Raw genomic sequence first — 23,629 nt, 5'->3', positions numbered from 1 at the left:
CCGCCTCGGCCTCCCAAAGTGCTGGGATTACAGGCGTGAGCCACCGCGCCCGGCCAGTATGTTGTTCTTAAGAGCGCCTTGTTAGACTTAGTGGCAAACTACTGGATTATTGTTACTCAGTGCTAGATACACTCCTGACACTCTGCTCAGTGATGCTGGCATTGGGCTCTGCGATCAGCACTGCTGCTTTGCCAGCTGCTTTCCTGCAGAAGAAAAGAGGACTTGCCCTTTCTGTTTTGCTCACTGTTGCTGCCAGTGTCTCAGGGGCACTGGTTCTCACCCTGGCAGAGGCAGGTGGCTTCATTCATTCTCCGGCTTCTTCCTCTGGCATTCCTAGAACCACCATCGGGAGAGCGCCCCCTTCTCAGAGGTCTGAATCCCAGTTCTGTGGGGCTCCTTTTCTAAGTTCCTAAGGATCTTTCTGGATAACTTCATCTTCTCCAAAGGTTTCAGCCCATATGGCAATGACTCTCAGATCTGTATTTCCCTCCCGTACCTCTCTCCAACATGATGTATCCCATAGACAGTCACCTTGAAACCATGATGGCTGAGTCTGAACTTGAATTTCATGCTTCCCTCTTCAGTTATCAGAAACCTGGGATTTGTTATGTTTCTTCTCTCCCCTCATCCATCCACAGCCAATCTCAAGTACAGTCCATTTACACCTGAGTATTTCTGAGATCTGTTCCCTCCTTTCCATTTCCACTAAAACTGCACTAAGGAAGTCCCTTGCTATTTCTCACTCAAACTTCTTTCATAACCTCTAACCGATCTCCTTGTCCTCTGCTCTCTTCACGTCAATCCCACCAACAGAAGTCACGGATTTGGCCAGGGCTCAAACCGGATTGCTTAGTTCTGACCTTGCCTACTCCAGTTCCACCTTCTATCTCTCCCTTATGTTTCAGCAACAGCATGTTTTACCCTCCATGCTGCTTGCCTATCTTTGCTTGCACTGTCCTCTCTGCCTTTCTCACACACATACTTCACCTGGCTAACTGATGTAAGATTCGACTTAATGTCCCCTATCCAGGAAGGTGCCCCTGAACTTTCTCTATCTCTGCCCTTCCTTTGTCCTCCCCTAAACTTGGTGGCATATTTTTTATCACTGCACATAACACTCTGTGTTACAACACTCTTTCTTCCTCACCAGACAGTGATTTTAAAGGGCTATTCACAGATCATTACCACTAGAGACAACACTTGTCATGCACTGGACTTTTAACGAGTGGTTTTTTGGGGGAGGTGAACTTTAAGGAATCATTACTATAAATGCAAACCAAATTATGTTCTTACAATCAAGAATTCCTTCACCAGATGCGAGACTACTCAGCAATAAGAAGAAATGAACTATCAATACACACAATTTAGATGAATCTCCAGGGAATTATTCTAAAGTGAAAAAAAATCGCATACTGTATGATTCCATTTATGTAATATTCTTGAAATGATAAAAGTATAGAAGTGGTTGCCCGGGGTTAAGAAGTGTGTGAGGGCAAGAGGGAAGTAGGTATGCCTATAAAAGGGAAACATGAGGGATCTGTATTACGGGTCCTTGTGGTGATAGAACTGTTCAGCATTGTGACCTTATGCATCTCAATGTCCTGGTTGTGATACTGTACTACAGCTTTGCAAGATGTTACCTTTGGAGGGGAAATGGGTAAAGGGTACACGAGCTCTCTCTGCATTATTTTTTACAACTGCATGTGAATCTACAATTGTCTCAAAATTAAAAGTTTAATTTTAAAAAAGATTTCCCACCAGAAACAACGTAGACTTCACACTTTCTTCAAATGCATTCTTTTTATTTGAGAAGGATGATCTCAAGGCAGTGCCCTTTGGGAAAGATGTCTTTCATCATCATGTACATCAGGATCAACCATTACTTTCAGCAAAGTACAAAAATACACACGTCAGTGACTTCCGTACAATAAATACATAATCATGCATCCCACAATAAAAGGCACCGAAAACTGGTCACTTAGTAGTCATAAAAATTACTAGCTACATTAACAAAGCCACCAAAATTATCTGTACAAGGAAATGTAACAATATATTCCAAAGGTGAAAACACATAAAACATCTTTAAAATAGTAGGCAATAAATATCTCAATTGTATATATTTTTAAAATTATGCCATTGTAAACAGCATGTAAACAAACAAAACTCACGTTGTCTTACCATTACTAAAAGTAATTAGAGCCAAAGTTATAACCTCTGCTCTGTCAGGTATATTTCACTGGCAAGTGTGCTAAGCAGTTAAAAGTTTCACTCTTTTCTGCAGCAAACAGAGCCCACTGTGTAATAAATAGATAGATATTATCTGCATCTTTCAGACACAAGTGCTTAGTTTCAAAACAGACTACCAAAATGTAGTAAATTCCTAACTATAAATAATACGGCAAGGCTAAATTTAAAATACCTTTTCCAATGTAAGGGACAAAAGGAACTATACTGTTGTGTTTTCAACATGATAATAAACAAGAGGCAAATGATTTCTGGTTATCTTTATCGAAAGATAAAATGAATGTGCTGAATGTCAGGGTAAAGTGTCCAATCTTTTGAGCCTCCTCCTTTTGTGGACCTTGTACAAAGTCAAACAAAGAGTAAAGCTGTATCACACTAAGAATTTTCTTTTGCTAGAGAACATAGAAATGGATGATACTTAATACTGATGGAAAACAATGACTTCAAAATATGCCTATCAAACTGTGAATACACATACAAGTCGGGTTTTTTTCCACACTTACTGACAATAAAGATACAGTTTTTTCCTTCTCATGAAGGAACCCTATTGCCTAACCATCCATAAATATCTAGAGAATTTTTTAGAACTAAAAATATTTTTGTTTCACCTATGTATTAGTGCCTCATGGCACACAAGTACTAGTAATATTTACTATATGCTTAGATACGTATGCTACCTGTTAAATATTACCGCCTACTCCTCATTCAAAATAATCAAGGAAACATCAACGCACATCTTCAAATGGAGCCTCTGAAGTATACCAGAAAGCATTACTTTTTCCCTTCTACTGTGGGTTTACCATGCACAGCTCTTATATATTTTGGTGTGTGTGTCATCAAAAGGCATATATGCCTTCCCAAAATAAACTTTAAATGTGAGTTCACATTCTACAGATCTATCAGTCACTGGGATCACATGTACGGCTGTGGAAATAGGATTGATGAAATATGTACTTGACAAAACAGTCAAAATTATTGGTGGCTGATACAAAAATGTAAAAATTGTGGACATAAAAATGGGATTACCTCTTTATGATAAAATAATTTGGTTAGTTTTTTTGGGTGGAAGGAGACTCCTCTCTGAAGTAACCTGAAAAACACTCGGTTTATAAAAGTCCTCCTAATACCTTAAACAGACTGTGGAAAAATAACTGTGAAAACAAACTTGGACTCTACCAGATGGGAGCTTTGTCTTATTTTATCTGTATCCCCAGAATCTAATTGAGTGCCAAGTATAGAGCAGGTAGAAAAGTCTATCAAGTGAATGAAGGAACAGGGCATTTCAGTTAATTACAATTATTTTGATTTTTTTTCTTTTTTTTGAGACAGAGTCTCACTCTGTCGCCCAGGCTGGAGTGCAGTGGTGCAATCTCAGCTCACTGCAACCTCCGCCTCCTGGGTTCAAGCAATTCTCCTGCCTCAGCCTCCCGAGTAGCTGGGATTACAGGTGTGCATCACCATGCCTGGCTAGTTTTTGTATTTTTAGCAGAGATGAGGTTTCACCATGTTGACTTGTCTCGAGCTCCTGACCTCAGGTAATCCACCCACTTCGGCCTCCCAAAGTGCTGGGATTACAGGTGTCAGCCACCACACCTGGCCCTGATATTTAATTTTAGAAATTATTAACTTGGAAAAGCTTTCTGTGTTAGCCTTTATGAGTATTTGGTGATATGGTAGAAAGGCTTTATCTAATCCCAAAGAAAAACAGGCCCAGAGGTAATAGTTTTTATTTTTAGTCTTTATATTCTATAGAGGGTGATAAGAGTCACAAGCCTTCTTATGTTTACATTAATAACTCTAAATAACCTGAAATCACACAAACTCAGTCTATTTCCCCCCAGCTGAATATTATTTAAAAATTCCACCATCACTATTGCTTTTGATTCTTTCTGAAGTCTCATTATTGTCTGTAGGTAATCAGTATATGTATTTATGTGGACTGTATACACTAAATGTCTATAAAAGAGAAAGATGATCTTTAGGGCATATTTAAGAATTACAAATAAGAGTTTGGCAGTTATGTGAAAATTTTAGAAGCCTCATTTTAGAAACAAGAATTCTGATTTGGCCAATATTTCTGATTTACAGCTAACAGATGATTATTTTTCACAAAACAACTGCTCTTCCTTGCTGTTTATCTTCTGTTGGTTTGCCCAGAGTGCACACATGCTCATGAATGCACACTTACCTCATGTGGACTTTCATGTGGAATTCTAAGCCTTTGTTTGTGAAAGTACACAAATATAGAGAAGTTCGGGTTTTCTATTACCTTCATTCAAAAATATTTATCAAAGTCCTATTATGTGTAGCTAGACACTGAGAATACAAAGGGGGAGAGAGAAGTTCAGTGGAAGAGACAGGTTGTGTGTGTGTAATTGAAATGTTATGTTATTTTAACAGAAAAAGTTTCAATATACTATAGGCATGGAGAAAATACCTGCCTAGGGAAGTCAGGTAGGGCTTCACAGAAAGTTAAATTTGAACTGAGTCTTGAACATGTTCATCTATGGCATGTGATTATGCCAAGGCACTAAGTCATAAGTAGTTCCAAATTCCTGGATTACAAAAGTCAACAGAGGGAAGGTTGGTGAGGATACTAAAAAGGAAGAAAGAGGCAAGGTCATAGACACTGACTCATCTTGCTTAGGAGTTAGTTTGCTATTCTGTAATTTAGAGAAAAAAGAGCCTACTTAAGAACTTTAGCAAATTTGTTTTAGAGAGACCACTCTGGTGGGAAAGAGTGAAAGTAGAAAAACTAGTTGCTGGAAAAAAACCAAAAACAAAAAAAAACCTATGGCAAAAGCACAGGAGTGAAAAATGGTGAGGGTTTGTATGATGAAGGCCTGAAAGGCAGCAATGAAATCAACACTTTACTGCAACTAATGAGAAACACAGCATAAAATGAGAATTCAACTTTTGACATAATCAAAAAATGAAATATGCAACTGCATACTGAAAAAAATTGATGCAGAAAATGCTTTTGCTTACAAAATCCAAAGCCAAGATTAAGATTAAGCATTTGTGTTATTCCATACTTTAGTTTATGAGTTTCTTGGCAGAAAAACCTAATTTGCATACTGTTGCTATGAAAACTGTGTCATCTTTCAAAAGCTTTCTGAAAGCTTTTCAAGTAAAAGGAGAGAAAACAAAAGAACTGTTCAAGTTTGCAATTCTCTCATCCTCATAATTATGTATATTTTTTTAAAATGCTGCGCAATTATAATCTGTAAACAGAGCATGTTCTAATTAAAATTATAATTAATTTCAATTATACTAAGGTCACCTGTATATCAGGTCATTATGGGAAGCAAATTCCCAGAAAAACAATTTCTTCCAGTCACTGTACCAAATCATTCTGGATTAATCATTCAGAGATCTATCATCATGAAAATTAAGTTGTGTCATTAAGACAGATCAAAATTCCACGGTGATGAACTCCAATCTTTTCCCTGTATCATATGGCATTCCAACATTTTTGGGGCAGTGAGATGCAACAGGAGCTCCAAATTATCATATTATACTATAATAAATATCAGATTTAGCAAAGAAACCTTTAGGTCAAGAATCAGATAGTGACAGAATTCAAATGTCATGTAAAAATCAAGTCATCGTTCACTGACTCTCATGTATAACTAATATAATGATTTTAACTAGGTTATTCTACTTTCTAATTTAATTCCCTTAATCATACCCAGAGTTCCATTAATTAATAAAGACAATCTCTAGTTTAGTTTCTTTATGGGAAGTTTTGAAAGTACTTTGCATGAAAGAATACCATTCCACAGTCAGAGAACGCAGTCAGTGATCCATGCTCTGGATTAAACATTCAGAACTCAGTACAGAGAAAGGAACATCACATACTCCATCTTTTTAACTACTGGTTTAAAGAGACATTTTCCTCTTTGGGGAGTTAAACTAAGAAAAGATATGAAGGACTTAACTTTAAAAAACATATATTCACATCTATAAAATTGTCATTTGGCTTAAGTATTGAAAAAATGAAACTATTCAAAATTTTTGAAGATTTTAGAAGTGAGTTTTGGCCTATCCTAAAATGAATAATATGAACATGTAATATAACAGATGAAAATACCCATAATCTACTCTGGTACAAATGCTACTAATTTTAACTTTACTTTCATTTTTAAATTAAACATCAGGGATATCAATTTGAACTTCTAATTTCTAACCTCACTGTCTGGGAAGTCTATCTTTATATCCAAAATGACCGTGGGAAAGAAATTGTAAAATTAGGTATGATTCATACTTATATAATTCCTTTAGTAAAAGAAACGTTACCAAGTACTAACAACTGATAATATTGTGTGCCATTTCTAACTGGGGACACCAAGTCACCAAAACATAACTTGTAGAAAGGACACAATGAGCCAATGCCAAAGTCAGTTACAGAACTGGATAAACCTAAACCATGTTCCCATCTCTAGGTATTGTGAATTTCAATAATTGTTTTGTTGTTTCAGTGAAAGGAAAAAATCCATTTAGCAATTATCATTGCTAATACTTGGCAAGTTTAAGAAAGGCTTAGCAAGTTTAAGAAAATCTCCTTGGTCTGCAGGGTATGGTCTGATCCACATTTACTGGTGTTTTTCTATAGGAACCAGCTAAGTGTGTCTGACTAGTTCTCCAGACATCAATCACTGAGATGAGAAAGCACAGATATTTGCCCCACATCATAAACCCTTGTGTGGACTCCATCAAATGTCTTGAATGATTAGGTCATCTGAACTACCTTCTTACTGACTTCTCAATTTCAGCAGCAGGATGTGCTCCCTGAATTCACTAGTTATGCTAAGATCTAGATACAGTCTCGGACTTCATCAATGTGATATTTTTTGTTTTCTGGGGGTGTGCTCAGCACACTATACAGCTCACGTGTGCCTTGTGTTTCTATCATATAAGGTGAAAGAAATCTATGTTCAAACTATTTGTTCCCAAATCTTTGCCAAATTACCAATTCAAGTTCCTTTTTCCTATAATTTCCATGTAATTTCTCTCACCAGTTTTCTTTTTTTCCCCCACTTCCAATAACTGCTTGTGCAACAGTAAAATTAATATAAAACTCTTTGCCTTTAAAATTATAGTAAATTAATTATTAGTCTCCTATGAGTTCTTAAACAGTACACAATACATCAACCGCTAACACTGTAACATAGAAGAAAACAGTTAAAGTTAGGGCTTATTAAAGCAATTTTCTTTGGTAAACCCCTGCTTCACATTAAGTCAAAACAGTTTTTTCTTCTTCCTTGAAAACATGTGTTTTATTCTGTGTCGTATGTTGTGCCATTATGTTTTAAATTTTTAGTTTTTTAAACAGTTAAATTGAGAGTAATTTTAAATAGAAATAATTCAAACAATTAAAATCTCACCGACTTGACAGAAACAAACAATTATCCATAACGGTTACTATCCCAGAACCAAATGCAAACATATGTTAAAAATATCCACCCTGGAACCTAGAACTGCTAGATATGTGATATTTTGGGGGGTTCAAAATTCTTTTTTTTCCCCCTGAGACAGAGTCTCGCTCTGTCGCCCAGGCTGGAGTGCAGTGGCGAGATCTTGGCTCACTGCAACCTCCACCTCCTGGGTTCAAGCAATTCTCCTGCCTCAGCCTCCTGAGTAGCTGGGATTACAGGCACCCACCACCACACCTGGCTAATTTTTGTATTAAGTTGGCCAGGCTGGTCTCAAACTCCTGACCTCAGGTGATCTACCTCCCTCGGCTTTCCAAAGTGCTGGGATTACAGGCCTGAGCAACAGCGCTCAGCCATGGTTCAAGATTCCTAATGTTCATTTGAATGTCATATTGGCAGTACAATCACTGAGATCTCTCTTCAACTAAAACTGAGAATTGGCTACAGAAAATAAGTTGTGACATGAAGATAAAATACATATTGGCAAAATATAACACACTGAATCCCTTGGCTACATTAAATCCTTAATATTGGTGAATTCATTTTGGCTTTATATTTTAAAAAAATATTTATTTTAAACATGAAACTTATTTTTTTAACAAAGTGTCTATTACTATTCCGCTATCTATTGCAGTAAAGAATACAGTTTTTTAAAAGGAAAATAGTTGGGCATCTGTTTGACAGAAATGAGTACTTCAAGTACATAAGTAAATCATCAACAGAACTACACACTCTAAACAACAGCAGTAAAAAGGAAAAGAGCTAGAATATGTATTTCATATAAAGCTTAAGTTTCACAACATAATAAATAAATGCACTGATTTATACAACTTGTGGAAACCTTCTTTTGATGATTACAAGTAATACTGTCTGTTACTGACTTTGCTGACACCAGCACTGCCTCACATAGAGAAATCCAAAGGTAAAATTCTTGCCCCTAATGCCACAAAATATACAAAGCTTTTATATTTGTTATTAAATATTTTGTCTGCCAAAAATCCTGCAAACTAAAATACATCTTGGCAGTTTGAATAGCCAGCATAATTATTTTGATATAAAAAGATAAGAAAAATTTTAATATGAAAATAACAGCAAAAGGAGAAACCTGTTGTATAAATAGACATTTTAACATAAAAGTGAGATTTATCTCACTTAAGAGGAAGAAAAACATTCGATACAACTTACTTGAAGATTTGAAAATAATTATATTTTCCCAGCTGTAGATAAATATATTACTTGAATTTACTAGTCATCTTCAATATACAATATATAACTCACAAAACTGGGAATGTTACAATACCAAAACCTTTCACAGCACTAGTTACCAGTTACCAGAACTGTAAGAAATATTTAGCTACATATCAGCTTAATACTTGGTATACAGAAATAGATACGGCTAAGCTGTGGGAAACAATAGTGCAATCAAACATTAAGGACCACAAAATATATTCTTTTTCCTTTTTTAGTTTGTATATGTAACTGCATTATCCTACCTTAATGGCCTTATCAACTGAATATGAAACTTCTTTATTTTAATGCATTTTAAAAGTAACCCTTTTTTTAGGTTTGGTTAATTCACTTTTGAAATGCAGTTCCTATGAAATACCCAGACTATTTATAAAATCCTATGCAATGAATAACTTGTAGCTAAAATGAAATATTTTATGTGAAGTTTTTAATAACTTTTAAGTAGTAGCTTGGTTTTCATTTTTCCAACTAAAACTTGGAAGTGCATAAAAAACTAAGAGAGTATATAAATAATGTAAATAGAGTATCTTAGTTACATGGAGGGAATTAATCTGTTCACCTATATTATGTAATATGGAGTTTATCATGAACAGAGTTTAACAGTCTCAGTCTGAGTTACTCTGTTAAACTTCTTTTCCTAAAAATATCAGAAATAATTACACAAACAGGTACAGTCCAGCTGTCTTTGATCTCTCTGTTCTCTACAATGATAAAACTTTATAGTTTTTCTTCTAACATAAATGTCTCCAAACAAAAGTTGGAAAGAAATAATAAAGAGAAAATAAGATAAGAAAAAATTAATGCTTTGTGTATTATAAAAACCAATAATCATCACGTTTTAAAAGTTGCAGTTACTTCTTTAGGAAGGCCTCCTATTACAATGGCATCATATTACTGACTTGACACAGAGGTTGCTATACAAAAGTCAATCAGGGGATGCCATAGAAGAGACAAGCCCCAGACATCATGGCACTGGGGCAGGCAGTGAGAGGAGAGAAACCCATGGCAACCAAGTGCTGTGGGGACTGCTCTGGGAGGCTATTCTATTGGCTAACAATTACTAGTGGAGGAATTTTCAATTCTCACTCTTCTTTTCAGCTGATCTAAAGAATTTGGTGTTTTAAAACTGCCACTTGTATTACCAAACTTCAAACCCACTCTTATCCAACTTACATCTGAGAGATGTAGGATGAGTTAATTGGAGTGGGGCGTAGAGGGGGCAGACAGGAGAGATCCTAAATGTCAAGGTTGAGAGATGCATTGTTTTTACAGCTTAATTAAGGGCTACATCCTTAAAGAATTCATATCCATAGAACATGAAAGTCCACTATGTTGACAGCCCAGTTGGAGATAGAAGATGTTTTACTTTAGAAGTGCTGTATAGTGGCAGCCCCTATAACTTTCTAAGTCATAGCTCTGCATGAATATTTTCTTCCTTGATTCCTGTTAAAAATAAGTTCCATGAAGACAAAAATATTGTCCTCTTTATTAATAAAAATTAGCTAAAGCATCTCTAGGCAATTGTGTTTTGGTACATTATATCAATATGTAAAAGTTATTAAGAGAAGGATTCCTGAAAATAAGTCTCATTGGGAAAAATCTTATAAAATTAAGTAAACTGTTATTTGGGGGTCAAGAATATGAAATATTATTCTTCAGGCACTATTTTAAGGAATTATTAACCATGTGAACATCAAGATAAGTGAGTGTAAGGAAAACAGATCTAAATCTAGCAAAGCATGCCTTTTTAGAGGGCTTAAATGAGATTAACTTGCAATCATCTTGGTTCATTCCTTTTCTTTTTTTGCATGACTAACAATTCATTCAATGTGTGTGTACTGCTATGTGTCCTCATGCATGAGCTATGTCAACAAGGACAATCTACTGATAAGAGAAAATGAAAATGTACAAGTTGTAGGAGACTAAACATGGTTTTAACTTAGTACACATTTTTCTGAAATGTCCCCCGTGATTAAGTTGTGAACAAATGAACATGCCACATGTCAACAAACTGAACAAACATGGATTGTTAGTGACTTAGAGGTGGAGGGAGGGCTAGAGAGAGGCTAGCTGTGTTGGTCTGCCAATCTCCTGTGTCCCACACTGGCTACAAAAATACAACCACTGGGTAGGTAGGGCTCATCTAGAACCAGAATTAGGAATAAGGATTGAGAAGAAAACTCAGCAAGGGTGATGAATGAGTTTCAGCTCATTGCTGGAGTTAGCTGAAGAATGAATAGGACACAGTGGATGAAGGAACAAGCTATTCCGGGGACCTTTTGAAGCCCTCGGACCTCACATCCCTAATAGCTAAGGAAGGATAAAATGGATGTAGGCCAGTGCTAATCGTTTGAGAAATTTTGCTAAAGGAAGATTTTGATTCGGTAGATCTGCAGTGGGCCTGAAATTCTGCATTTCTGTAAGCTCCCAGGTAATATTGATGCTGCTGGCCCATGGATCACATTTTGAGTAGCAATGATCTGCACCAGTGCTGTCCAATAGAATTTTTGCAGTGATGGAAATTTTCTACATCTGCACTGTCCACTATGGTTACTGAACACTTGAAATGTAGTTAGTGCAACTGAGAAATGGAGTTTCTAATTAAATTAATTTTTTTAAAGAGTAGGGGTCTTGCTCTGCTGCCCAGGCTGGAGGGCAGTAGCATGATCATGGCTCACTGCAGCCTTGAACTCCTGGTCTCAAGCAATCCTCCCACCTCAGCCTTCAGAATAGCTGGGACTACAGGCGCATGCCACCATGCCTAGCTAGTTAAAAAAATTTTTTTTCAGAGACAGGGTCTCACTATGTTGCCGAGGCTGGTCTCAAACTCCTGGCCTGAAGCCATCTTCCCTCCTAAGCCTCCTGAGTCACCGGAATTACAGGCTTGTGCCATTATGCCTGGCTTAATTAAATTACATTTAAATTTAGATAGCCACATGTAGCTACAATATTGGACAGGATAGATCTAGACATTCATGGGTCATTTCTTGTCAGCAAGAACAATATATATCACAATCCCAAATGACCTAATCCATCAATTCACTTAGATTATCCAGCAAGTATCCTTTTACAGAACGCAAACTGTAAAATTAGTGTCTTTAAATTGTTTTCTTCCTAACACTTAGTTAAATGACCCACCATGTATGCTTAAGCGAGAAATGAAAGGGGTCATTTTGTAGTGGGTTAATTGATGGGGAAAGGAAAGTAGAAGGCAGTGAGAATTTCAGCAACCATGATTATATTGGGCATTGGGAAAATGAAGAGCCAGGATGTAGGAAAGAAACTCAGAAAGGGAGGTGAAGAGACACTAAAGAGAAATATTGCATACTCAGGAATTTTATTTAGGTCTGATTCTGTCCCTTTCCTCCTTTAAAAGCAAGTTCTTCCTCAGGAAATGGAACTGAAAGAAAATACATTCTGGCTGATGGCCTCCCCTTCCCTGCCCTCCCACCAGCCCCGATCCTCCAGGTGAGGAAGAGCCTATCAGGGAGAAGAGGTGACAATTCCAGCCATTACAGTCATTGCAGTCAGGTGCAGGTGGGAACTTCTCACCCCAGCTCATGCATAGATCAAAGCATAGAGGCCCCATCCCACTCCCCAAAGCTGTGATCTGATCCCATGGAGAAGCTCTTCCCTACTTTTTATTTTTTTTGGTAACCCCATCCGCTATAAGAAGAGGAATTATTTATGATACTGACAAGAGCCTAAGGAGGCTCTGAAGACCCCCTCCTGGAAACAGGTGTCAGTGAAGTCATTTGGGCCCTGCACAGCCATGCATAGACAAAGCATACAGAGAAAATTGCTCTCATTTAACAAAAAGTATATCCAAATTGTCATTTTATAGAATTTCCCTCATCCAAAGCCATTTGCAGGAAAATTCTAGCTAATTAAGGATTCCATTAAGAGACTCACGCTCTACCAACCGAGCTAGCCAGAAATGCACTGTAGGATTCCATTAACTGAGACTTTACAGCATATACAAAAGATGTCACCTACGAGTGAAAAGCTCACCAAACGAACAAACAAAAATTCAGTCCTTCACATCACACTCTTAAATTTGGGACACATCATAGCTAGACTCTTTTCTATTAGCAAAGGGGAATGGGGGGTGAAAATCAATATAGATATTTATATTAATACATTATTTATGCTAGAGTTCTTCCCCTTCTTTCCCTCACATTTCCTTTTTTTAGTAAAGATGGACAGAGATCTGTAATGTTAGAGAGTTCTGGGAACCTGGCACCTCCTGTTTGGTTGCACAGGAAAGTGTTCACAGGAGCAGGACAGCACTTAGGTGGGACTATCAGAGGGACTGAAAAAGGAGACCTCTGACTTCGTAAGTGCAGATACAATTAGAATAATTGCATAATTCATGACTATTTTTTTTTGAGATTGAGATGGGAGTCTTGCTCTGTCACCCAGGCTAGTAGAGTGCAGTGGTGTGATCTCAGTCACTGCAACCTCCATCTCCTGGGTTCAAGCAATTCTCCTGCCTCAGCCTCCCGAGTAGCTGGGATTACAGGTGCGTGCCACCACACCCGGCTAATTTTTGTATTTTTAGTAGAGATGGGGTTTCATACACTGGTCAGGCTGGTCTCGAACTCCTGACCTCCGGTGATCTACCCACCTAAACCTCCCGAAGTGCTGGGATTACAGGCGTGAGCCACAGCACCCTGCCTCATGACTTTTTAAACTACTTGATATAACTGTCTTTGGAAAATTTCCATTTATTTACAACTTAGGTAAAATATATAGTCAGACATACTTGGTCAGGAATCCCTCAGGGTCATTTATTTTAAAGACATTAAAATTTTGTGATTTTTACTAGTAGTTAAATACCCAAGTTATAAACAAGAGTAAAGTGTCAAACAGTTAAACTCCTTTGATGTAATTAAATAATATGCCTGACAATAGTTCATTTTAAATGCTCGCCTATTAGTATTTCTCTTTAAACACTGGGGAAATAATTGTCTAGAAAATATCAATGATGCCATATCACAAGGTTATATGTATGTAGGTATATATATACACATATAAATGTATATGTGTATGTATGTATATATACACATATATGTGTATATGTATATATCTGTGTGTATATATATCTATTAAGCACCTAGCAGGCTACTTCATAAAAATTGTCACCACTGAGTCAGTACCCTGTTTATTTCTCTTATATACAAATTTTAAAATATTATAATTAATGTTTTGGTATATAATGGCTAAAGAAAGCTTATTTAAGGATATTTTTGTGACTTTTTGATACGTATGCCTTTGGCTTTCAAAGATTTGATCATTGTAATGTTGACTTCTAATAATAAGCTACACTGAAGTACAGTGGTTTAGAAAAAGGAAAATAATATCCACCTGATAAGAATTAAGAATTAAGTGAGATAATAATAATAACAACATAAAGCCCTTAAGAAAAAATTTAAATCCCTTCTGTTTGGAAGATCGTGTCAGAAGTCACTGTAGAGAGCGGGTGAGTCTGGGTTATCTGTCAGTATATAAATCTCAGTTGACACCTCAGGGAATTCCTGGATATCAACACTTTACTATATTATAAATTCAAATAGAATATTAAATAATTATTAAATTGAAATTAAAAATTAGAAACAAAATGTGGAAATTTTGGTTTGGAAAGCTGTAACAAGTTTTGTCAGGTAAGGGAGCATGTAATTTTATGAAAATATCCAGAGAATTTTCTTAACGTGCACGCCTACTGCTTATGATAGATTGAAATAAAATTGACTTGCATGTGATGTATATCATTTGTTGATTATGGCACAGACACACTTTCACAAAGTCTTAGGTACAGAATATTTACGCAAAATCCCACATTAAAAAACAGAAAAGTGCAGTGCCCTTAACCAACAAAAATGTACTTTAGTAATAAATTAAATCCCATTAACATTAAAACTGACATGAAAGCTATTTAAAGTGTTACAGTATTAGATGTGACATGCAAGAAAAAGAAAGACATTTCAGGCAGGAACATCGTGCATTAAGATTTGCATTCATTCATAGTATTGGAAAGGTTTTCAACATATTTGACCACTAAGCACTAGGAGTTGGAGGTGATACCAATCTACATTCAAATCACAACTTAATTTATATTTTAGTCTCCTAACCTATGATTTTAAGAAAATGGCCAATGCCCCCCCGTAATGAAACCTAGGAAGTTTTAACCACATATTGTTATGCAGTTGCACAGTAGGAACATTCCATCAGACCAGATCTATGGAAAGTAAACATTTTGCAATTCCACTGTTTAGACAATGCAATCGTCTCAGATTCCTCCTACCTTATTACCATTGTGAATATATTTGAACATGTCAGGTTTGCACAAAAAGAAAATGGCTTTGTGGAATGTATTGTTCGGCACAAAAATATTTTCTAATACCTCAAATCAAAATTTCACCCACAGCAAAATATCAAGCCACAGAGGTGCTTCAGTGGTGCTTACTTATCTATGCAGAAAACTACAAGAACAGCCACTTGCTTCCAAGGACTTTGTATTAAGTGGCAATAACTTCTCTTCCAAGAAATAGCACCAATATGATTACACCTCCGACTGTGGAGTGCTCCTTCCAAGCTCTTTAATTCCCTGGAGAATTCGCTTCACATGACCCACTTTCGGTATCCCCAGATCCTAAAATAAAAGAACAGAAAAAGGTAGAAATAATTAAAAATGAAAGAAAAAACACAGAAAGAAAATTTTAAAAATGAAAGAAAAGGAAAAAAGTTTATTGAAAATAGAAAATTGGGGATTAAATATTTAACCAGCAAGAAACATAATTAGCATTCAGTTCATTCATTTTAGTTTATATTCAGTGATTCAGGAAGTGAAAGCTAGAAAAATAAGTTCATAAAACAAAAATAACCTGACACCAAAGAATTCCCAACTGGTACAAAAAAAAATCACATTCTACATAAACTCTTAACTGTGACATTCTCATAATTATACACAGTGGCTTTTGACTTCAAAAGTCAAAACCAATTTAGTTTCTTTCTTTCTCTTTCTTTCTTTTCTTTCTTTCTTTCTTTATTTCATCTCTCTCTCTTTCTTTTCTCTTTCTTTCTCTCCCTTTCTTCTTTCTTTCTTTTCTTTCTTTTTCTTCTCTCTCTCCCTCTCTCTCTCTCTCTCTCAAAGGCTCTTTTGGGATCTCTGAGAAAAAAATGATGCGGGACAGCAGGGCACCCACAATTAGTCCTAAGGCAACATTTCTTGTGCTAAAATATTAAATTTAAAAGTGAGACCTAATTCTAGAGAAAGATACCAGTATCTGCTACATAAATTTGGACTGTAAATGCATTTGCAGTTGCATTACAAGGCTTCAATTTGAGAGGAATATTTAATTTAATTAGTCTTTATACTTTGTAATGTATGTGTGTAAAAAATTACTTAAACATAATTATCTGTTGGTTGATGCTTTCCCTCAAAACACTATTGGCTCTTTTCTCTCAAAATTATTATTCTTGCTTCTTAAAGAAACTTCTTCTTATAAGTGCCAAGAATTCAATATTTAACTTTCAGAAATAGATGATGACTGCAGAGTGTGCACAGCAAGTACCTTGCAAATATTTGTTGCAGGAATAAATTAAACCTATCCAAGGGTGAATAACTGCTAGTTATTCACTGTCTGAAAAACTAAAAGAAACAGTTAAGGCCTCCAAATCCTAGTTTCTTTAAGTAAAAGGCATAGTCAGTTTGCTAATATGTGAAGTCAAACAACTTCTTCCAAAAAAATTGAAATATTTGAAAATTATTAAAAAGATGACTTCCAAAATGGCCTAAAAAACAGGGTTATAAAATAACCTGTCTGAGAAGTTAAAGATTCCAAATATCCACCCTGTTTTATAATTTATTTATTTTTCAACTTTTGAATGAAATAGATCAAACTGGTTTAAGTCTTCGGTCATTGTCTCTCTCTTTCTCTCGTTTACCCTTTAAGAGCTCTTGGAGTTCTTTAGCAGTAATGAATCCTTCTGGAAAATACTCTTTCCATAGCCAATGCTATTGTCAAACTTGAGATAATTTCAAGATATTTCATAAATATTTAACTGACTCAGAAAAATATTTTCTCCTATGACACAGGGCATCCAAAATTAGTCCTAAGGCAACTATACATTTCCTGAATACGTGCAAAAGTATCAAGCTTAAAAGCAAGGCCAAATCCTAGAGGAATATACCGATGCTTGCTACCTAAATTTGAAATGTACATGCGTTTACAGTCACATTTAGATTTTTTGAGTGGAATATTTAAATATCTTTACACTTTGTGAAAACATAGGTATGCAACTACAAAATATATTTAAATATTAAATATTTTATTTTAGGCCATAAATACATTGTATTCTCAAGACTAAATCTTCTTTGGGGGAGGTAGAATCTATTTAGAATTACTATTTTGGTATAAAATGAGAAGAATGTTTTCCATAGAATTACATTAACTTCTTAGCTATACTTTTTTTTAAATTAATTTAATTTTAAGTTCCAGGATACATGTGCAGGATGTGCAGGTTTGTTACATAGGTAAAAGTGTGCCATGGTAGTTTGCTGCACCTATCAACTCATCACCTAGGTAGTAAGCCCCACAGGCATTAGCTATTTATCCTGATATTCTCCCCTCCTTCTGCCCCCACAACAGGACCCAGTGTATGTTGTTCCCCTCCCTGTGTCTATGTGTTCTCATTGTTTAGCTCCCACTTACAAGAACGTGTGGTGTTTGATTTTCTGTTCCTGTGTTAGTTTACTGAGGACAATGACTTCCAGCTCCATCCATGTCCCTGCAAAGGACATGATCCAGTTCCTTTTTATGGCTGCATAGTATTCCATGGTGTATATATACACCACATTTTCTTTATCCAGTCTACTATTTTTTTTTTTTTTTGAGACAGAGTCTCATACTGTCGCTTGGGCTGGAGTGCAATGGCGTGATCTCGGCTCACTGCAACCTCTGCTTCCCAGGTTCAAACGATTCTCCTGCCTCAGCCTCTCAAGTAGCTGGGATTACAGGCACCTGCCACCATGCTCAGCTAATTTTTTTTCTATTTTTAGTAGAGACAGGGTTTCACTATGTTGCCCAGGCTGATATCGAATGCCTGACCTCGTGATCCACCTGCCTCAGCCTCCCAAAGTGCTGGGATTACAGGCCTGAGCCACCACACCCGGCCTATCCAGTCTACAACTGATGGGCAATTGGGTTGATTCCATGTCTTTGCTATTGTTAACAGTGCTGCAATGAACATATGTGTGCATGTATCTTTATAATACAATGATTTATATTCCTGTGGGTATATACCCAGTAATGGGATTACTGGGTCAAATGGTATTTCGGGTTCTAGGTCTTTGAGGGATTGCCACACTGTTTTCCACAATGATTGAACTAATTTACATTCCCACCAACAGTGTAAAAGCTTTCCTATTTCTCCACAGCCTCACCAGCACCTGTTGCTTCTTGACTTTTTAACAATTGCCGTTCTGACTAGTGTGAGATAGTATCTCATTGAGGTTTTGATTTGCACTTCTCTAATGATCACTGATGTTGAACTTTTTTTTCATATGTTTGTTGGCCACATGTCTTCTTTTGAAAAATGTCTGTTCATGTCCTTTGCTCACTTTTTAATGGGGGTTGTTTTTTTTCTTGTAAATTTGTTTAAGTTCCTTGTAGATTCTGGATATTAGACCTTTGTTCAGATGGACAGATTGCAAAAATTTTCTCCCATTCTGTAGGTTGTCTGTTCGCTCTGATTATAGTTTCTTTTGCTGTGCAGAAGCTCTTTAGTGTAATTAGATCCCATTTGTCAATTTTGGCTTTTGTTGCAATTGCTTTTGACGTTTTAGTTTGAGTTCAATATTTTTATGCCTTTGAGGGTATAGGCTGTAATAAAGCTATGCTGTGACATTTGTTCTATCTTTATTTTTATCACATATCATTATATATTAATTTTTATCATATTCTTTTTTTTTTTTTTGAGACAGAGTCTCAATCTGTCACTCAGGCTGGAGTGCAGTGGCATGATCTCAGCTCACTGCAACCTCCACCTCCTGGGTTCAAGCGATCCTCCTGCCTCAGCCTCCCGAGTAGCTGGGACTACAGGCATGCACCACCATGCCCAGCTAATTTTTGTATTTTTAGTAGAGATGTGGTTTCACCATGTTGGTCAGGCTGGTCTTGAACTCTTGACCTCATGATCCACCTGCCTTGGCCTCCCAAAGTGCTGGGATTACAGGGATAAGCCACCTCGCCTGGCCAGTTTTTATCATATGAGTAGCTTTCTCTTTCCCTGGATAAACAGTCCAAATTTTGACAAAGCATGCTTTGTAGATATTCAGTTATCCTTCCAGCCATACATACACAACTTTCCAAATAGAAAAAACAAAAAATAAACTAAACAAAAAACTCTCACCATATGTTTACCATTTTCTTTGGTGTCTCTTTTTTCTCCTACTGTGTTCTAGCAAAGAAAATGATGCAATCAGTTTGTTTCCTTATCTGCTAAAGCACATTGGAAATACTTTCCTGGCTGGGCATGGTGGCTCACACCAGTAATCCCAGCATTGTAGGAGGCCAAGGCAGGCCGATCTCTTGAGGCCAGGAGTTCAAGACCAGCCTGGACAACACAGCAAGACCCTGTCTCTACAAAAAATAAAAGATATTAGTTGGGTGTGACGGCATGCACATGTAGTCCTAGCTATTCAGGAGGCTGAGGCGGGAGGGTCACCTGAGCTCAGGAGGTTGAGGCTGCAGTGAGCCATGATTGCATTACTGCACTCCATCCTGGGTGACAGAATGAGAGTCTATCTCAACAACAACAACAAATATATGTATATATATATATATTTTTTTTTTCCTTTTCCCAACTTTAGACTGTCATGTTACTATGTCTAGTTGTTTTGGTGATATGGGAGTAACACTTGAGCTAATCTCTGAGCAGGAGTTAACCAGGTGAAGGGTAGGGGAAGAAGCACAGCAAAAGAGAGTACATCCCCAAGGTGAGAAAAAGTATAGAATTTTTAAGCAACTGAAATAAGGCCAGGATGAATGGAGCATAGCCCAGGGAGGAGCCAGAGACTTCACAGGAGGTTGAATACATAGGCAGAACCTTGTAGGCCTGCATAAAGATGTGAGTTTTTATTCCCTAGAAATGGGAAGCTACTGAAAAGTTTTAAGCAGAAAAGTGTACACCTGATTGATGATGCTAAAATAACACTCTGGTTGCAACGTGGATAATGGACTGTGAAGACAGAGTGGCAGCGGAAAGACCAGTTAGGAAGCTATTGATCTTATACAAGCAAAACTGGACAGTAGCATGGAGCAGGATTGTGGACAGGATATAAAGAGAAGTGAATGGACATTAGAATCAATATGACTTGGTGATGGGCTTGATGGGTTAGGGGAAGATGGACAAAAAAGAGGAAGGTGCTAAGTATGAGCCTCATTTCTCTGCCTAGAGTGCCTGGAGGGCCAGAGATCTGATTTATAAAATGCAGAGCACTGGAGAAGGGGCAGAACAGGAGTGCAATAGGAGCTCAAGAGTTGCTTTTGGACATGTTAAGATTGAAATTCTCTAACCTAGGTTTCCATCAATGGATGACTGCATAAAGAAAATGTGGCACATATATACATTGGAATATTATTCAGCCATAGAAAATAAATTTTAAAAAAGAATGAAAACATGTCTTTTGCAGCAACTTGGATGGAACTTGAGGTCATTATCTTAAATGAAACAAGAAGACACGGGAAGACAAACATTGCATGTTCTCACTCATAAGTGGGTGTTAAATAAGGTATATACAAGGACCTAGTGGAATGATAGACAATGGAGACTTGGAGGGGTAAGGGAGTGGGAGGGAGTGGATAAGAAATTGCTTATTGGGTACAATATATGTTATTCAGGCAATGGATTCCGTAAAAGCCCTGACTTAACCACTATGAAGGTAATAAAATTGCACTTGTATCCATATATATATATATTCATTTTTGGAGACAGAGTCTTGCTCTGTCGCCCAAGCTGGAGTGCAGTGGTGTGATCTCGGCTCACTGCAACCTCTGCCTTCTGTATTCAAGAAATTCGCCTGCCTCAGCCTCCTGAGTAGCTGAAACTATAGGAGCGTGCCACCACACCTAGCTAGTTTTTTTGTAGTTTTAGTAGAGATGGGGTTTCATTGTGTTAGCCAGATGGTCTCGATCTCCTGACCTCGTGATCCGCCCGCCTCGGACTCCCAAAGTGCTGGGATTATAGGAGTGAGCCACCGTGCCCAGCTGTACCCATATATTTTTGTATAAATAAAAATAAATTAATTTTTAAAAAGCAAAAACAGAGATTGATATCCCTGTATAATACCTGAGTACCAAGTAGCCGGTTGGTGCTATAATCCAAAAGTTCACAAATCAGGTCAGGCAGGGCTGAGAGAGAACCTGTGTGCCACTGACATATTCACAAGTAGTACCGGAAGCAATGGAGTACCTAAGGAGTGAGTGATCCCTCACCAGCATTTAGAGGCATCGGTCTGAAGGACTTGCCGCTGCTGACAGCTACAACCGCAGAGAACAATGGGAGCTCTTCTCTAGCTTTATGATTTTGTGCTACAGAAGACTCTTTCTGTGAAATGTTCCTTTTCTCATCCACCCCCCACATCTTGTTTCAGACCTAATACAATTTTTAAAATCCATGTCAATACAAATGTCTAAAAGTTTTAAGAGAGAGAATGTAATTTGCATTAAAAATAAAAACAAAACAGAACAAAAAAGTCCCATGAAAAGCAAAAAGAACGTTTTCTAAGATAATTCTTAACCATCTTCTTTCTATTCTTTTCTAACTTTGCCTTAGTGTATGTTTTTCCATTCTACACATTCATTCTGCTACATTCATTGTGTGTGTACCTGTATATATCTATGTTTGTATGTATATATATAACACGTACACATATATGCATTTATGTATGTATATTTTTTATACATACACACACAGTCTTTTCCCTGAATGTATGCTTATTCACAGCAAATGCGGTGCATGCTTCTAGAGGACAGGTATCATGCAGAGAAGCTAGCATAATATATTAATCAGTCATTAATAAATATTGGTATCTGCCAAGGATATCAGAAGTTACAAAAACATGTTGGATATCATGATCCCCCCTACATTTACTTTTTTGTGGACTCATTTCAAGCTTGGAAGCCAACTTTTGCTTTATGAACTCTAATACTACATATTTTGCTATGTTCCAGATTTAGGACTCTCAACTAAGGTAATTAATTAATTATTTTATTTTATTATGGCTAAAGTTGTTTAGGTATAAGTGGTGTCATCTTTTGATGTGCTAAAACTCTTTGTGAATCTGTTTAATAAAGATCTTTATACTACCAATTATCTATTCAAAGATCTTTGCTAATGTATTTGTAGATAAAGGTGCAACAACAGTTCATTAATTTGTTAGGAATTCTCTGTATTATGATAAAATTTAATGCATTTTAGAACTTGGTCTACATGAAAGGGATCACTCCAACAAACGTTACTACTTATTGGAAATTTAAAATGGCAATATGTGGTAAGAAAATACAACGTGACAAAATCCTACTCCTAAACCTTGGCCAGAGAGCCTACTTCAGCTGTTTCTACTACTACTGAGACTTCACCCACAGAATAAAAGGGAAATGCCTCAGGTGATGAAGGAATGGTTTTCTCTATCGTCAATTCACAAATAGGCTCTGAGCTGTTTTCTAGCAAAAGCTAGGCAAAATTTTTACCTCGTTTACTAAAGAAAAAAAATTCTTTTTGAGAATAATAGAATTTTAATAATATGTCATAGAAAGGAAATTTGAATTTCTCAGTCTAGTTATTCATGTGACCTAAAAAAGGCTGACTTAGAAATACAACAAATTGTAAGATTCTAAGTAGCCATTGCTGTAAGTCTCTCTTCTCATTCCATATGTTAGAAAGGCTTTGTTATTGGTATTTTGCATTAATTTTTAGTTGTTAACCATATATTAGATTTTAGTCATTTTCAGCCAAATTATCACCTTCCATGCTGATGCAATAAAATGAGCTGATGGAAACATGATCCATTTGGAAATACTAGCACAGCAACAGTCATATCACTAGATGCAGAGAAAAATTACTAAGTTCATGCTAAGCTTTAGCTATAATAGAGTGATTCTGACAGGAAAATACTGCTGACATTCTTGTTAAAAAGCATACAAGAAACTCAGACCACAGGACAGTGAATGTTAGGTTACTACACATTTGCATGACATAAGCGAAGCTAAAAGCAAGTATCAGAAGAGGCACAGGAGAAAGGATTCTGTTTTGCAATAAAATTTTCAAGAACAGAAGAGCACAAAGGAAATACCTTAAGATCTCGCCTTTCCAGATGCAAAAGTTCAGCCCCTCTGATGTCATGACGGATGAAGATATCTTTGTACTCTCCCAAATTGAGCAGATCCAGCCAAGCAGCAACTTCCTCTGTGCCCCATTTCTGAACTACCAAAGTTAAGAGCAAAACCCCCTTAATTTCTACATGCTCAATGCATTACAAAGCAAAGGTTGGCCAAAGAAGATGCAAAACAGAGTGCAGCGGCAGTGCTAGCAAAAGAAAAGGTTAAAGGTGTTGTTTCAACAAAACCATAGTTCCACTTTTTCCCATGCAAGTTACACACTATCAACACAAGGATCCGACTATACAAAACCATTTGCTG

The 23,629-nt window shown here is 36.7% G+C and overlaps 1 protein-coding gene across 8 annotated transcripts in view; it reads right to left on the bottom strand.

Moving 5' to 3' along the window:
* DGKH (diacylglycerol kinase eta) overlaps positions 1-23,629 on the bottom strand; it is a 216,515-nt gene that overhangs the window by 11,907 nt on the left and 180,979 nt on the right. For 3 of the 8 annotated variants that reach the window (NM_001204504.3, NM_152910.6, NM_001297429.2), the window contains one exon: positions 1,782-15,579. In NM_001204504.3, the coding sequence (NP_001191433.1) occupies positions 15,527-15,579 (53 nt within the window). In that variant the 3' untranslated portion in view covers positions 1,782-15,526. Of the gene's footprint in view, positions 1-1,781; positions 15,580-19,340; positions 19,389-23,283; positions 23,517-23,629 lie in introns of those variants that run through there. The other 5 variants (NM_178009.5, NM_001204506.3, NM_001204505.3 and 2 more) reach the window with 4 other exon arrangements.

This window comes from Homo sapiens, chromosome 13 (assembly GCF_000001405.40).
Source record: "Homo sapiens chromosome 13, GRCh38.p14 Primary Assembly".
NCBI classification, from domain to species: domain Eukaryota; kingdom Metazoa; phylum Chordata; class Mammalia; order Primates; family Hominidae; genus Homo; species Homo sapiens.
Note: the sequence above shows the minus strand (reverse complement) of the source record. Positions and strands in the feature narration are given on the sequence as shown.